This window comes from Homo sapiens, chromosome 3, assembly GCF_000001405.40.
Source record: "Homo sapiens chromosome 3, GRCh38.p14 Primary Assembly".
In the NCBI taxonomy this organism is placed as follows: Eukaryota; Metazoa; Chordata; class Mammalia; order Primates; family Hominidae; genus Homo; species Homo sapiens.
Genome location: NC_000003.12, coordinates 196552871 through 196568584, shown reverse-complemented (window position 1 = coordinate 196568584; position 15714 = coordinate 196552871). Strand labels below are relative to the sequence as shown.

Here is a 15714-nt window from a genome sequence, read left to right as displayed (position 1 = left end):
CGACGGGATTGGGCGCCGGCGGGTGAGGTTATCACTAGGCGCCGAGGAGGGGAGCGGGAAGCGCAGGTATGAGGCTGGCGCCGGTGGCTTCGATGCTGCTTTCCGGTGACTTCGATGCTGTTTTCCAGTGCTTTTTCCTTTTTCTGGTCTGGTGGCTCCGCGTCTGCTCTCCTGGGCTCCCTTTCCTGTGACGTTTCCCTGTGTCCGTTAGGTCCTTGCTTCAGACTCCAGCTCAACGCATGAAACTTTTCTCTCCTTGCTTGCCGGGTCCTGGCTCCCCAACCTTTTTGTGTAGCTTGGGCAGCGGAGGCCGTCTTTACCTGGTCAGGCCCTCTCGTTCTCCCTAAGTATCGGCACTTAGCGAACGTCTGTCCCTGTGTGCCTTCGCAAAGTAAGGTGGCTGCGACTGAACACCCCCTCGCCCAAACGTTCGAGTGCCATTTGAGCGCTAATTAAGTGCTGCCGTCTTTTGGACAAGATGTGGTCTTTACTGGATCCACCGCTTAGTAAGCAGATGAAGGCAATGTAGTTTTAGTCAATTAAACATTCCAATAGGGAGAATGACGTGGAGGCTATAATTATAGATGGATTCTTGGAAGGGGAAGAATTTCAGCATCCCAGCTTGGGCAACATTGCGAGGCAGTGTCGCTACAAAAAAATAGAAAAATTAGCCGAGGGTGGTGGCGTGCGCCTCTGGTCCCAGCTACTTGGGAGGCTGAGCCCGGGAGGTCGAGGCTGAGGTGAACCGTAATCGCCCTGCTGTGCTCCAGCCTGGGCGACAGAGTGAGCCCCTACCTCACACACACACACACACACACACACACACACACACAAGAATTTCAGCATTATTTGATTATACTACGATTTCCTAGGTGGCCCCAAAGTTTTCCGACAGCCTTTAAAGCATGCTTAGTAAGAGAATAATAATAACCATCATTTGAGCCACGGTGTGAACCAGGCACTGTATACTACGTCATTTACGCAGATTTTTATATACGTAATCCTCAAAACAACTCCATGAGCTGAGTAATTAAAATAATAGGGTTCACAGACTCCCTTGGTCAACTCCAATGTCTTGGAACCTTTATGTAGTAAGAAATCTTTTCTGAAGCTTCTTGCTATGTATAATCCATTTCTTAGTCTCTAGTAAAAGCAAAGGAACGGTGGCTACCTTCCCTACCCTCTGATTCATGGTGTTTGATTATTATTTGCCTGTCCCTTCTCCTCATGTCTTTTTCACCAAGTCCAGTAACCCTAATTCTTTTCATTCTTACCAGTGCCAGCGCCACAGCCCTTCAATCATTTTGGTTGCTATCCAGCTTCTCCACATCAAGTCCAACTTCAGAAACCCCAAGCCTGTAGAGAAAAGTTGACCTGTGCTGACTCTGGTGATGGTGACTGTCTCTCACTAATTTCTTTGAAGTCTTCAAGGATAAGCAGAGTTGATCCATCTGAGAAAGGGATCATGAACTAGACAGAATGAACAGCCTTAGAGGCACAGACTCTTGAACGGGACGGTGGTGGTATGACTAGTGCAGAGTGTTTAGAGATCACTCAGTTTTTAAAGACTGGCCTTTATCGTGTCTCAGTGCAGCCGAGGCAGAGCCTTTGAAGGATGCGATGTTGTCATTCTTACTAATCTAGTCCAGCCGCTGAGGTGACTTTCAACGGCAGACCGTCTCCTGAGCGCCCCAGGTAGAATTTCAAAGTAAGATTACCCTTCTCAACCCCTCCTTTTCTTTTTTACAAATCTTTCACCTGCTCATCACCCACCCCACCAAGCCCCTTCCCCATGTTCAGTACTCTCATTCTGCGCTCTGGCTGATGAGAACTGCCGGCTGTGGCACTTCACCCTTTTAAAAAATGCTCTCGGCCGGGTGCCGTGGCTCACGCCTGGAATCCCAGCACTTTGGGAGGCCGAAGCGGGCGGATCACCTGCAGTCAGGAGTTTGAGACCAGCCTGGCCAACATGGTGAAACCCCATCTCTACCAAACATACAAAAATTAACCGGGCGTGGTGGTGCATGCCTGTAGTTCCAGCTACTCAGGAGGCTGAGGCACAAGAATCGCTTGAACCTGGGAGACGGAGGTTGCAGTGAGCCGAGATTGCACCATTGCACTCCAGCCTGGGCGACGAGAGCGAAACTCTGTCTCAAAAAAAAAAAAAAGAAAAAAATGCTCTCAAAATAACTCACCTGGCAGGGCACAGTGGCTCATGCCTGTAATCCCAGCACTTTGGGAGGCCGAGGTGGGTGGATTGCTTGAGCTCAGGAGTTAGACCAGCTTGGGCAACATGGTGAAATCCTGTCTCTACAAAAAATAAGATAATTAGCTGGGCGTGGTGGTGCATGCCTGTAATCCCAGCTACTTGGGAGACTGAGGTGGGAGGATTACTTGAGCCCCGAAGGTGGAAGTTGCAGTGAGCAGAGATTGGGCCACTACACTCCAGTATGGGTAACAGAGGGAGATACTGTCTCAAAAAAAAAACACAAGAAAAAACTCACCTTTCCCTCACCCACTCTGTGTGATTTCTTTAGGTATTAGAAGGAAGTGATCTATTATCTAATTAAAGTAATTTACAGTAGGATATGATTAACTGCTGTGCTTAACGCTTTAGGCAACTCCATAGGAAAAGAGAAGCTTGTTGACTTGATACGTGAATGTGGGGATGGTGACACTTCACCTCTTTCTGCCAGGCTTTCCAGTTGCAGTCATAGAAAAGCAAGAAACAGTGGCTTGCCAACTCATTTCTGAAAAATTGTTTTGATTTAACCCAACTTTAATTACATTTTTTCCCACTACCCTTCTATCACAGCAATCTGATTAACTTTTTCATAGTGTTCTTTGGTGTGTTTCAAATAATAACAAATCATTTTAGTTTTATAGACTAAGTAAACAATTTTGGAGGCTCTAGTTGAATCGCTGATCAATAGTTTGCATAATAAATCTTGATTGACTAAAATTAATAGCCTCAGAGTTTATGGATTTCTGTTTCTGGGGCTTTCCAAACTCCCCCCTGCCCCCTCACCCCGACTCTCACCCAGGCTGGAGTGCAGTGGCACAATCTCAGTTCACCACTGCAACCTCCACCTCCCAGGTTCAAGCCCTCAGCCTCCCGAGTAGCTGGGATTACAGGCACGTACCACCACACCCTGCTAATTTTTGTATTTTTAGTAGAGACAGGGTTTCTCCATCTTGGCCAGGGTGGTCTTGAACTCCTGACCTCAAGTGATCCGCCCTCCTCAGCCTCCCAAAGTGCTAGGATTGCAGGCGTGAGCCACCACGCCCAGCCTCCCCTGGCCCCTGCCTTTTTTTTTTTTTTAACATTCCCAGTAACAGTTATTTATTTTTCTGACTAGATAAATGATCAGTAAATATTATCTATGTGATTTAGAGAGTAGGAGTTTAGTGTGTAGAGTTTAATAAGATGAAAGTGTTCTTGGGGTCTTGTGAGACTAATAGAACAAGAGTTACTACTGGTTCCACTGTGGAAAAATTTATAGGAACTGTAGTCTTTATAATAATCCCTTTAAGGACAAAATTCGTTTATTGCCTGTCTTCTCACACTTCGGAGCAAAACTTAACTGAATGAACCTTGAAGATTGAGTTAATCTTTTCTAGAAAAGAATTAAATTAGGAAGAAAACCTGCTAAAACTTTTGTCTGTCAGTCAGCATTTATTTGGCTCTCCTGTGGGTAGATTTGTAATGGAGAAACAGGAGCACTAGAAACCTTGCCTCATTCTTGTTTCAGAGAAAACCTAAAATCCCAGCTGGGATCCAAAACCTGTATGCACACAAATATCAGCAAATCTTAATGCTCTAGAGTACAGACTTCCTGACTTCAAAGTTGATTCATCATAGCAAAATTAAAACTATAACTTGGCAAAAAAGTGATCGACATTCTAAAGATTTGAAAGCATTGGCTGGGTGCAGTGGCTCATGCCTGTGATGCCAGCACTTTGAGAGGCTGAGACGGGAGGATCACTTGAGCCCAGGAGTTCAAGAACAGCCTGGGGAATGTGGGGAAACCTCATCTCTACAAAAAAAATACAAAAAATTAGGTGGGTTTGGTGGTGAGAGCCTGTAGTTCCAGCTACTCAGGAGGCTAAGGCGGGAGGATCACTTGAGCCTGGGGAGGTCAAGGCCTGCATGACAGAGCAAGACCCTGTCTCAAAAAAAAAAAAAAAAGAAAAAAGAAAAAAAATTGAAATCGTTAAACAAAATTATTTGTAACTTAAATTGACTTTTCAATACTCAATTCAAATTTGTAGGATAGCATCTTTATCATGAGGTAAGTCAGTATTACAGTTCCTAAGCCTAAATACTATCAGTGCCTTTCGTTTAAAATCTAGGTTTATCTGGAACTTTTGGCAACAGTCTTCGTTACGGCATATTTACCTGCTGCTGTTTCAGTACTTGTCAGCAAAAATCAAACCACCAGGGCTCCCTGTTTTTACCTCCCTCTGAGTCATTTCCTCTCCAATTCTCTCCTTTAAATATTATTGCTTCAGTCTCCAGTTAGTTTCCTCTGTATATTAGTTGAGTGCTTCTGCTTGAAAACAAAAGTTTAATTTTGTTTTTTATTTTGTTATTTTTATGAACATTTCTGTATTTGATTTTGTGATCACGTTTCCGTTACCTTGATTACTAATAGATCAGTGATTTTTTTGCAGTCTAATTAGTGATCGTATGTGTGACTAAAAGTAGGGGGAGGCTGGGTGCGGTGACGCACGCCTATAATCCCAGCACTTTGGGAGGCTGAAGTGGGTGGATCATGTAAGGTCAGAAGTTCAAGACCAGCCTGGCCAACATGGTGAAACCCTGTCTCTACTAAAAATGGAAAAGTTAGCCTGGCGTGGTGGCAGGCGTCTATAATCTCAGCTACTTGGGAGGCTGAGGCAGGAGAATCGCTTAAACATAGGAGGCAGAGGTTGCAGAGAGCTGAGATTGTGCCATTGCACTCCAACCTGGGCGACAGAGCAAGACTCCGTCTCAAAAAAAAAAAAAAGCTTTGTGTTGGGAATGGAAACTTTGGGCAGATTGCCAGATTATTTTAAATGATTTTATCTCTGTACCACTGGGCTAAATTCAAGTATCTTATCTGAAAATAGCACAACAGCTCTGGGGGCTGGCACTCGGGTAAGCTCTCCTTTCGCTTATGAAATGAAAAATTAAATTTGTCCAGGTAGATTTATTTGCTTCCTTTTGTCTTGACCAAGATTAGAGTTGTATAAATTGCCCTGATTTCCTTTTTGCCTTGACCAGCAGGCGGGCACGGCAGGCCGGTATTATGTGGCATTTCCAGTGTGTGTATATCTGGGATTCCTAGAGGATGAGAAATCTAAATTTTACACTGTTGTGTAAGTGCAGGTAGATGATAATATGATTAAACATATGTGAGTACATTTTCAAGCACTGATGACTTACTAGTAACTTTTGGTCATTTTCTGTTTCTTCAAAGAATAATAACAAAACTGTTGTCAGGTGGAGTTGTTAGAAAAGGACCTTCATTATTTAAATATTTGGAGCCTGGGCAACATAGGGAGACCCCGACTTTGCAAAAAAAAATTTAATAAAATAAAAATTAGCCAGGCATGGTGGTGCACATAAGTGGTCTGAGCTACTCAGGAGACTGAGGTGGGAGGATTGCTTAGGCCTGGGAGGTCAAGGCTGCAGTGAGCCACGATTGTGCCACTGCACTGCAGCCTGGGTGACAGAGCAAAACCCTGTCTCAAAACAAAAACAAAACATTTGGGATCTGTTACAAATCCTAAGAGTCAAGTGACCTTGGGAAAATTATTTAACATTTCTGAGACTCGGTTTTATTATCCCTAAAATGGAATAATACCAATCAAAAGGGTTGTTTTGAGATAAAATTAGATAACCTACTGAATAAGTGTCTGGTGGGGAGACCAAGGGCCTGCCATTTTCACCATTTCCCCAGGTGGTCATTAGTTTAATACAGATTCTGCAATTCCACTGTACATCAGGATCACCTGGAGGACTTACTAAAACACATTGCAGCCGGGCGTGGTGGCTCACGCTTATAATCCCAGCACTTTGGGAGGCCAAGGTGGGTGGATCACCTGAGGTCAGGAGTTTGAGACCAGCCTGGCCAACATGGTGAAACCCCGTCTCTACTAAAAATACAAAAATTAGCCAGGCATGGTGCCGGGTGCCTGTTATCTCAGCTACTCGGGAGGCTGAGGCAGGAAAATTGCTGGAACCCGGGAGGCGGAGGTTGCAGTGAGCCGAGATCATCCATTGCAGTCCAGCCCGGGCTAACGGCAGCGAGACTCCATCTCAGAAAACAAAACAAAACAACAACAACAAAAACACACTGCTTGGTCTCACCCCCATTTTCAGATTCAGTAGATCTAGGGTTGGGTCTGACAATTTGCATTTCTGACAAGTTCCTAGGGGATGCTGATGCTGCTAGTGTGGAGACCACACTTTGAGAGTACTGGTGCAGTGTATGTAATGCCGCTTTGCACCGGCCTAATAAAAATCGAAAAAGTAACAATAGCAATGCTTGTTGAGGATTCATTATGTATCAGGCACTATTATGTGTGATTTACATATATTATGATCCTATGAAATGAGTGTCATTATTATCCTCATTTTATAGAGAAGAAAAGTGGGTGACAGGTTCAGTAATTTGCCCAGTCCCCTAGCTACTGCAAACCTGGAGAGCCTAGCTGCAGAGCTCACCATCTAAAACATTATTCAGATAAGAGGCATAACCTGATGATTTTGCAGCCCTCTCTTTAAAATAATTTTTCTTAATTTAAAATATGTAGTGTTTATTCTTCTGTGGGTTCCATATGAAAGACTGGAGGACTGGCCTTACCTAGATCCCTGATGGCAAAGGAAGCCCACTGAAGTATTTGCCAGCCAGGATACAACCCTGTGTTCAGCTAGGCTTTTGGAGATGTGATCTTTAAGTGTCTTTTTTTTTTTTAATTAATTGAGTTTTTTTAAGATGTATTTTTAAAACATTTTAAAAGATGAAATATTGTTTATTACATCTGTCTCCTCCCATCAAGTCGATGTATAAAACATGAGATTACAGTTGTTTCCCCCACTTCACAGAGTCTCCGGGACCATTATGGCAGTCAAGTGGACGGGTGGGCATTCTTCTCCTGTCCTCTGCCTGAATGCAAGTAAAGAAGGGCTGCTGGCTTCTGGAGCAGAGGGCGGAGATCTCACGGCTTGGGGTGAAGATGGAACTCCATTAGGACACACGCGGTTCCAAGGGGCTGATGATGTTACCAGTGTCTTATTTTCTCCCTCCTGTCCCACCAAGCTCTATGCCTCACATGGAGAAACCATTAGTGTACTGGATGTCAGGTCCCTCAAAGATTCCTTGGACCATTTTCATGTGAATGAAGAAGAAATCAATTGTCTTTCATTGAATCAAACGGAAAACCTGCTGGCTTCTGCTGACGACTCTGGGGCAATCAAAATCCTAGACTTGGAAAACAAGAAAGTTATCAGATCCTTGAAGAGACATTCCAATATCTGCTCCTCAGTGGCTTTTCGGCCTCAGAGGCCTCAGAGCCTGGTGTCATGTGGACTGGATATGCAGGTGATGCTTTTGCACAGAGTACTTGGGGAATTTCTAAGTGGGATTTGCTAACAGGATCAAATTATTGATCACACGAAATATCTTTGCTTTTTCTGTTTTCTACTAACATATCCATTTATGAACAATAAGCCTTATTTCTACATTTAATGCTAGTCTGATAAAACCTAATAGAATTTATTCACAAAGTAATCATTAATCCTTTACTTTTCCTTTCTCTATACTGTAAGATACTCCTAAAACCTGAAAATGCAAATATTTGATTGTAAACATCTGTTTAAACAAACAGTGAGTACTAAAGGCAGAGTTGGTCCACCCACTCTCTGTAAACTCTGTTTAAACAAAAAGTTAGAGGGGTCTGTTTTTACTTTAAAGTTCTGGGGTACATTAACTGAAATAGTGTGTATTGGTGATCAGGATCAGAGCACTGTATTCAATGCTGAGTTTTGAAAGGAGCATCACGGCTGGGCACGGTGGCTCACGCCTGTAATCCCAGCACTTTGGAAGGCCGAGGTGGGCAGATCACTTGAGGTCATCAAGACCAGCCTGGCCAACGTGGTGAAACCCTGTCTCTACTAGAAATACAAAAATTAGCCAGGCGTGGTGGTGGGCTCCTGCAATCCCAGCTACTTGGGAGGCTGAGGCAGCAGAATCGCTTGACCCAGGAGGTGGAGGTTGCAGTGAGCCGAGATCATGCCACTGCACTCCTGCCTAGGCAACAGAGTGAGACTCTGTCTCAAAAAAAAAAAAAGAAAAAAGAAAGGAGCATCACAAATTGCCCAAATACAGAGGAAGTCCATCAGGAGAGTAGATGTATCTAGAAACCCATTATGTAGAGAACTGGAGGTGTTTAATTCTTAGTTTTCATGAGGGGAAAAAATGGAATGTGCTGGTCTTCATAAGAGAAGTCATGGGAAAGCAGATTTGGGCTTAATGTAAACGTTTTCAAATAGCTTGAACGTTCCCATGGCAGGATGTGCTTCCTCTTGAGAGAGTAAATCTCATCACTGGAGTGAGTCGTCATGATTTCTGTCTGTTGAGCACTTAGTTCTTGCCAATGCTTTGTGTATATTAGTTTTAATTCTAATCACACCCTCCTAGTTATTTTTTTTAATAAATAAAGAAACTGAAATTCACATGAAGTATCTACATTGCCACCTGACTGAGATTCAAACCTCAATCTCTCTGGCTCCAAAGGCTATGTTTTTTCTCTAAGATGACAGGTATTCAAGCAGAGTATCATCAATAATGTCACAGAAAAGTTTCTTGGTTTGGGGTCAGGTGGCTTCTAGAGAGAGAACCATTGTGAATGACCGATGTGTCCAGCACTGTTCAGGCATTTAATCTCTGTTCTCAGTTACATACAGTATCTTCTAAGATTCCATGTTCTTTTTAATAGCATCAGTTATGACTTCCACCCTCTTGGCTAGTGGTCTTTACCTTTCCCTCCCCAACCCTGCATACCCCTCATAACTGAAGAATGATGAGACTGTTTTTGTTGTCACCATGCTGTTCCCCTCTCCTGCAAGCTACCAGTATTCAGTAGGCAGAATCAGTGGGTGTCCTGCAGTGCTGGGATAGTCTCCAAACAATAAAGAATTGTCTCCCCAAAAACATCTGTAGTGCCTGGGTTGAGACTCACTCTACATGTATGGGGCATAGTGACCCTACAACCTCTATCTTCCTTTTCCACTCCTAGGTTTTGACCAAGCCCTTTATAAATCTCCTACATTCTCCACCCTAGTGGTGATAATCTGCCCTTGTGGTTGTAAAGAAAGACCTATACAACCAGATGGATATGTTTTAAGTAGGCAGATTGTACAGTGTGTCTTTGAGTAGTCATTCTGTCATCCTTCAGCTGTACCACTTTTCCATCAGTGGTTCATTAACCACTAGGCATGGCAATAGACAATTGGGTACGCAAAAGTGATGTGTACTTTTCAGATTAGATGAGGAATGGGCATTCAGAATTTACTGTCTTGCCCCCAGTTCCAGGTAAGACGTTTTAGTGGCAGGCACTTGCTAGTGAACAGCCCTGGAAACAAGTATTTTGAAAAAGGGAGGCTCAGGTAATTTCTTATTTTGATTTGCCTGGTAAAATTGCTAAAGGTTCATGGTAGATTTGTTTCTACACTGGGTTGTGATGTAACAGCCATACAACCATGCTTTTAAGAAATGACTTCCTTAACTGAAGTTGAAACTCTATAATTATTTCCACAGTTGTCTTCCTAAAACCTGTTGATCCAGTATTATCCTAAACTTTAAGGATAGCCAGTCTATGGGGGAGCCCAAGAATGTAGGCACAGTAATAGTGGAAGGGAGTTCTGACTATTTTGAGTTACTTCTCTCTGAGCAAACAAATTTTATCTCAAGGCAGGAATTGAATGATTGCCATGTTCAGCATACCTATCTTTTTTCTTATGTAACAGTAATTATAAAGTTATGTCTTTTGACTTAGGTTTAAATAATTAGGCAGGGCCAGGTGTGGTAGCTTATGTGCCTGAGGGCTCATGCCTGGGATCCCAGCACTTTGGGAGGCCAAGGCAGGCAGATCACTTGAGCCCAGGAGTTCGAGACCAGCCTGGACAACATGGCAAAACCCTATCTCTACCGAAAATACGAAAATTAGCCAGGTGTGCTAGCATCCACCTGTGGTCCCAGCTACTTAGGAAGTTGACGTGGGAGGATCACCTGAGCCCAGGGAGGTGGAGGTTGTAGTGAGCCATGATCTCGCCACTGCACTCCAGCCTGGATGACAAAGTGAGACCCTGTCTCAAAAAAATAAAATAGGCAAAGCGCATTCAAAGAGGCAGGGACCCTAAAAGCAAAGTGTGGTTCTTTAAGACACGTGAGACTGCTTAATTTTTTATTTAATAGGTACAAAGTAATATTTATATATATGAGGTGTAAAGGATAACATTAGGCCAGGCGCAGTGGCTCATGCCTATAATCCCAGAACTTTGGGAGGCCATGGCAGGTGGATCGCTTGAGCTCAGGAGTTTGTGACCAGCCTGGGCAACATAGCGAAACCCCATCTCTACAAAAGATACAAAAAGTAGCCAGGTGTGTAGTGAGCACCTGTAGTCCCAGCTACTTGGGGGGCTGAGACGGGAGAATTGCTTGATCCCGAGAGGTTGAGGTTGCAGTGAGCCAAGATTGTGCCACTGCACTCCAGCCTGGGTGACAGTGAGACCTTGTCTCAAAAAAAAAAAAAGAAAAGAAAAAAAATTAAATAAATACCTGTATACCTACCATTCAACTATAGTTTTTTTCTTGAAAGACTTAGAAAATTAAAACTGTCATATTTCTGTAGCATACATGTTGATTTTCTTTCCCTGCCCCTTTCTGCATCTGAAAACAAATGATTGAAAGGTTTGTTGTTCTTTCTGGATTTTTAAAACCAAAATCCCAACACTTACAGACCAGGATGGTAGAGAAGGCTCTTTTGTTTGTTTGTTTTTGAGACAGGGTCTTTGTCATCCAGGCTGGAGTGCAGTGGTACAATTAGAGCTCACCGCAGCCTCGCACTCCCTCAGGTGATCCTCCCACCTCATCCTCCTGCATAGCTGGGACTACAGGCACAAGCCGACACACCCAGCTAATTTTTTTTATTTTTGCTGCAGAGGAGGGCTGGCTCCCTGTGTTCCCCAGGCTGGTCTCGAACTCCTGGGCTCAAGCAGTCCTGCCATGGCCTCCCAAAGTGCTGGGATTATAGGCATGAGCCACTGCACCTGGCCTGAAGAGGCTCTTTATCTTGAAGACGAGTCTTTTATGTGGAAAGAAATGTTTTTGTAAAAGGGGAATTTGTTTTGAAAGGTCACTTTGTTATGATTACATTCACTTCTGAACATTTGCTGGTTCCCCACTTTTTCTCCCTTCGATGTTTTGCAGAACCATAAGCCCCAAACTCTTTATTCTTTTCTTTCAGTATCTCTAGCTCTCTTGATTAGGATGAGAACTGCTTGAACAGCTGGTTGAGAAATTAAGTGTGAAACACCTTGGAGTCTTTAGCATTTTAGAAAAGTCAAGAAGCATAAAGGGAATGTCCAGACAGGAACAGTCTGGAATCCTCAATACGTGGAAATGATTCTAGACTTGGTAGAATCTGGGATGGCTGTTAACACATTTAGATGATTTAAGTCAAATACAAAAGGTGTTTCAGCTGCTGAAACACTCTGGGTGCAGTGCATGTTTGAATGTCTTTGGAGGACAGAAAATACAGTCCATTCATAAGGGCTGTATGAGAAAGAACTGGGTCTATCTGCCAATACAGTGAAGCTAGCAGATTCTAGAATGTCCATTTTCTGTGTGTGTGTGTGTGTATTTTCTTTTTTTTTTTTTTAAAGACGGAGTCTTGCTCTGTTGCCCAGGCTGGAGTGCAATGGTGTGATCTCGGCTCACTGCAAGCTCTGCCTCCCAGGTTCACGCCATTCTCCTGCCTCAGCCTCCCGAGTAGCTGGGACTACAGGCGCCCACCACCATGCCTAGCTAATTTTTTGTATTTTTAGTAGAGATGCAGTTTCACTGTGTTAGCCAGGATGGTCTCGATCTCCTGACATCGTGATCCGCCCACCTCAGCCTCCCAAAGTGCTGGGATTAGAGGTGTGAGCCACCGTGCCCAGCCGTGTTCAGATTTTTTAATAGAAACTGTTTTGGGGCATTGTGGCTGATGCGTGTAATCCCATCACTTTGGGAGGTGGAGATGAGTGGATCGCTTGAGCCCAGCAGTTGGAGACCAGCCTGGGCAACATAGCAAAAACCCCATCTCTACAAAAAAATACAAAAATTAGCTGGGTGTGGTAGCATGCGCCTGTAGTCCCATCTACTTGGGAGGCTGAGGTGGAAGGATCACTTGAACCCAAGAGGTCAAGGCTGCAGTGAGCCATGGTCATGCCACTGCACTCTAGCCTGGGTGACAAAGTGAGACCCTATTTTTAAAAAAAAAACTATTTTCATATCAAGTTTCAGCACTCCTTCGTGTTATATTTTCTAATATTTATTTATTTTACTTTAGCTTATTTCAATTTGTTCGTACTTTAACTTCACCCAAACAGTGATTGTTAGTCACATAGTATAATGTTATAAATCCAATTCAAAGAGATTTTCATCTAAGAGAAGCAGAATGTAAGTGTTACTAGATGTCACTGCTTTTGAAAATAGGCCACTGAGAATAATCATAAGGGAAGTTACCTTGAATAGGAAACCAAATTCTTAATAGCATTAGCAATAGTAATCTTGCCAATTCAGATCTATGCTTTTCACTGTCTAAACAAGCTCATGCTTCTTCCAGTGTCTGTTAAAATTGTGAGTTATAATTCAGGGATGATGGTAAACTACATGATAAAGCTGTCTGTTTGCTTTGAAAGTATTAAGAGTATTTTTCTTTGCAAAATGGTTGATACAGGAAAAGAATGAATCACTAGATGATAATGTAAAACCCATTCACAAAGCTTATTTAAAAAAAACAAAAAGCACCAGGTCGGGAACAACGAAAAGCCAAATGAAATTAATACCAGGATGTCATATTAATCAACAGACATGTTTGGAATTTCTCCTCTTTCTCAGCCATTATGCTAGGCATTAGCAAAGACTAAGTAAGTCTCAAGAAACTGATAAGCTAGTAGAATATGTCAATTAATAGAATAGAAACTAGATACAGGAAGGAGAAGCGGGCTGAAATAGGAAAGCCTTCTTGGAGGCACCAGGACTGAGCTTAAGCCCCTTGGATGGGTAATTGGGTAATGTGAAAGGAAAGGAAGGCATTCCAGATGGAAAGCATTTCAATGATAGTCCAGATCGAGTTTATTTAGTTGATAGGCCTTTTGACCTATAACCAGCATAGACTAAAACTAGCAAATTTGATAATCTTTGGTTTTACTTGAAGAGATGAGAGCAGAAAAACCTTTAGAAACTGGCAGCTGCTTAACAATTACACTTTAATGGAGTTTATTAATCAAAAATTATTCAGGATCTTGTTTAATTCTACCTAACCGCACTCTAGTTTTAGTCCCGGGGTAGCATTCCACTGGCATGTTATGGCAGCATTTGATTATTTTTTAATACTGCTGAGAACGTGCACTACTGCTCATTCTCAGACTACTTTAACGATTTTATTAGAAGCTGAATAAGCATGATAGTTGAGCAAATTGGCTAGCATTTTGTATGACTGTGTAATTTCTTCTTATGTAAAGGTGATGCTGTGGAGTCTTCAAAAAGCCCGACCACTCTGGATTACAAATTTACAGGAGGATGAAACAGAAGAAATGGAAGGCCCACAGTCACCTGGTCAGCTCTTAAACCCTGCCCTAGCCCATTCTATCTCTGTGGCTTCGTGTGGTAATATTTTTAGTTGTGGTGCAGAAGATGGTAAGGTTCGAATCTTTCGGGTGATGGGAGTTAAGTGTGAACAGGAACTGGGATTTAAGGGCCACACTTCAGGGGTATCCCAGGTCTGCTTTCTCCCAGAATCCTATTTGCTGCTTACTGGAGGGAATGATGGGAAGATCACGTTGTGGGATGCAAACAGTGAAGTTGAGAAAAAACAGAAGAGTCCCACAAAACGTACCCACAGGAAGAAACCTAAAAGAGGAACTTGCACCAAGCAGGGTGGAAATACTAACGCTTCAGTAACAGATGAGGAAGAACATGGCAACATTTTACCAAAGCTAAATATTGAACATGGAGAAAAAGTGAACTGGCTCTTGGGTACAAAAATAAAGGGACACCAAAATATATTAGTAGCTGATCAAACTAGTTGTATATCTGTATACCCCTTAAATGAATTTTAAATCCAATAAAAACATTTGAAGAATTGTGGCAAAACTGTTTTTCAGATTAAAAAAAAAAGCTCCTGGTTCTTTATTTAAGCTGTTTGTTATATGTAAAATCATACTCTTCTGCTGTACAAATTTTAAGATATTTGAACAAAAGACAATTGGATATTTATATAGTAAGTGATATGTTAAAGTTTGGAGGAAGAGAATGAATATTCATTGTGTACCATGTACCAGCCATTTTACGTATATTTGATTTCTTGTTCCGAATCATTGAAGTGATTTCCCCCATTTTAGTGCCACAGGAATTAAGACTTAGAAATGTTAAGTAACTTAAAGATCCAGGAAAATTGCAGGCACAACGACTTGTCTGGAAAGGACCTTGTTAAGCTGCCTACCGTAGGGAAGCCCACATCCTGGTCCAAATTGGTCACCATATTAGTTATTTCTGTCCAGGCGCAGTGACTCACGCCTGTAATCCCAGCACTTTGGGAGGCCGATGCGGGCAGATCATCTGAGGTCAGGAGTTAGAAACCAGCCTGGCCAACATGGCAAAAACCCATCTCTACTAAAAATACAAAAATTGGCTGGGCCTAGTGGCACGTGCCTGTAATCCAAGCTACTCAGGAGACTGAGACGGGAGAATCGCTTGAACCCAGAAGGTAGAGGTTGCAGTGAGCCAAGATCACACCACTGCACTCTAGCCTAGGTGACAGAGCGACTCTGTCTCTAAATAAATAAATAAATAACATTAGTTATTTCTGATCCCAGGATGTCATGAGGAGCATTACCAAGTTGGAAGAGGAAACCTGTTCTTGCTTGTTCTGTGTAAAGCCCAAATTGCTTTGCTGACAATTACCTTTTGCTGTGTTTCTAAAAAACAAAAAGGGTTCCAGGGTCAAATCAGTTTAGGGTATTATGCAGCAATCCAGGCCATGATGCTGGTGGAGTGAGAATAAGTTGCAGTTATTAATAAGCAGAAATTCTGACGAAGCAGAAGATAGAAAAGAGAATAGAGGCCTAGATAGGGTGTCAAGAGTTATGTTCCTTTTCATTGAGGCCTGGATTGCTGTCTTCTCTGCATGTTCTTTCAGCTTTCACTCATACTGCCTACTCTTATATTTAGAGTTTTTTAAATTTTAATTTAATTTTTTTATAGAGAGGAGCCTTGCTATGTTGGCCAAACTGGTCTCAAACTCCTGGCCTCAAGCAATCCTCCTGTCTTAGCCTCCCAAAGTGCTGGGAGTACAGGTGTGAGCCACCGTACCTGGCCTATATTCAAAGCTTTGAAGAGATCATCTGATTGGTTACCATTATTCTTGTTTGTGGAGATCTCTTTTTCATAAATTCAGTTT

At 42.7% G+C, this 15714-nt stretch overlaps 1 protein-coding gene across 15 annotated transcripts, besides 2 other annotated features; it reads left to right on the top strand.

The window, feature by feature from the left end:
- On the top strand, positions 31–14408 carry WDR53 (WD repeat domain 53). Of its 15 annotated transcripts, none has more exons than NM_001345908.2 (4): positions 31–66; positions 1278–1695; positions 7094–7589; positions 13778–14408. In NM_001345908.2, the coding sequence occupies exons 3-4, from the start codon at positions 7110–7112 to the stop codon at positions 14372–14374; spliced, it is 1077 nt and encodes a 358-aa protein (NP_001332837.1). In that variant the 5' UTR covers positions 31–66; positions 1278–1695; positions 7094–7109; the 3' UTR covers positions 14375–14408. The 15 variants fall into 15 exon arrangements, with proteins under 15 accessions (NP_001332837.1, NP_872433.1, NP_001332838.1 ...); NM_182627.3 differs by having other exon boundaries at positions 1278–1708; NM_001345909.2 differs by having other exon boundaries at positions 31–146.
- Positions 690–1889: an enhancer, noted in NCBI's record as "BRD4-independent group 4 enhancer chr3:196293567-196294766 (GRCh37/hg19 assembly coordinates)". NCBI's record gives its function as "activates an origin of replication core promoter dependent on BRD2, P300/CBP, MED14 and CDK7 cofactors, and independent of BRD4, by STARR-seq in HCT116 cells {active_cell/tissue: HCT116}" and the evidence as "EXISTENCE:reporter gene assay evidence [ECO:0000049][PMID:35650434]".
- Positions 4260–5459: an enhancer, noted in NCBI's record as "MED14-independent group 3 enhancer chr3:196289997-196291196 (GRCh37/hg19 assembly coordinates)". NCBI's record gives its function as "activates an origin of replication core promoter dependent on BRD2, BRD4, P300/CBP and CDK7 cofactors, and independent of MED14, by STARR-seq in HCT116 cells {active_cell/tissue: HCT116}" and the evidence as "EXISTENCE:reporter gene assay evidence [ECO:0000049][PMID:35650434]".
- Positions 14409–15714: the final 1306 nt, after the last annotated feature.

Coding starts and splice junctions, on each gene's coding strand:
- WDR53 (NM_001345907.2), top strand. CDS start 7,110: ATGGCAGTCAAGTGGACGGGTGGGCATTCTTCTCCTGTCCTCTGCCTG. Junction 7,590..13,777: donor CATGTGGACTGGATATGCAG/GTGATGCTTTTG, acceptor TCTTATGTAAAG/GTGATGCTGTGGAGTCTTCA.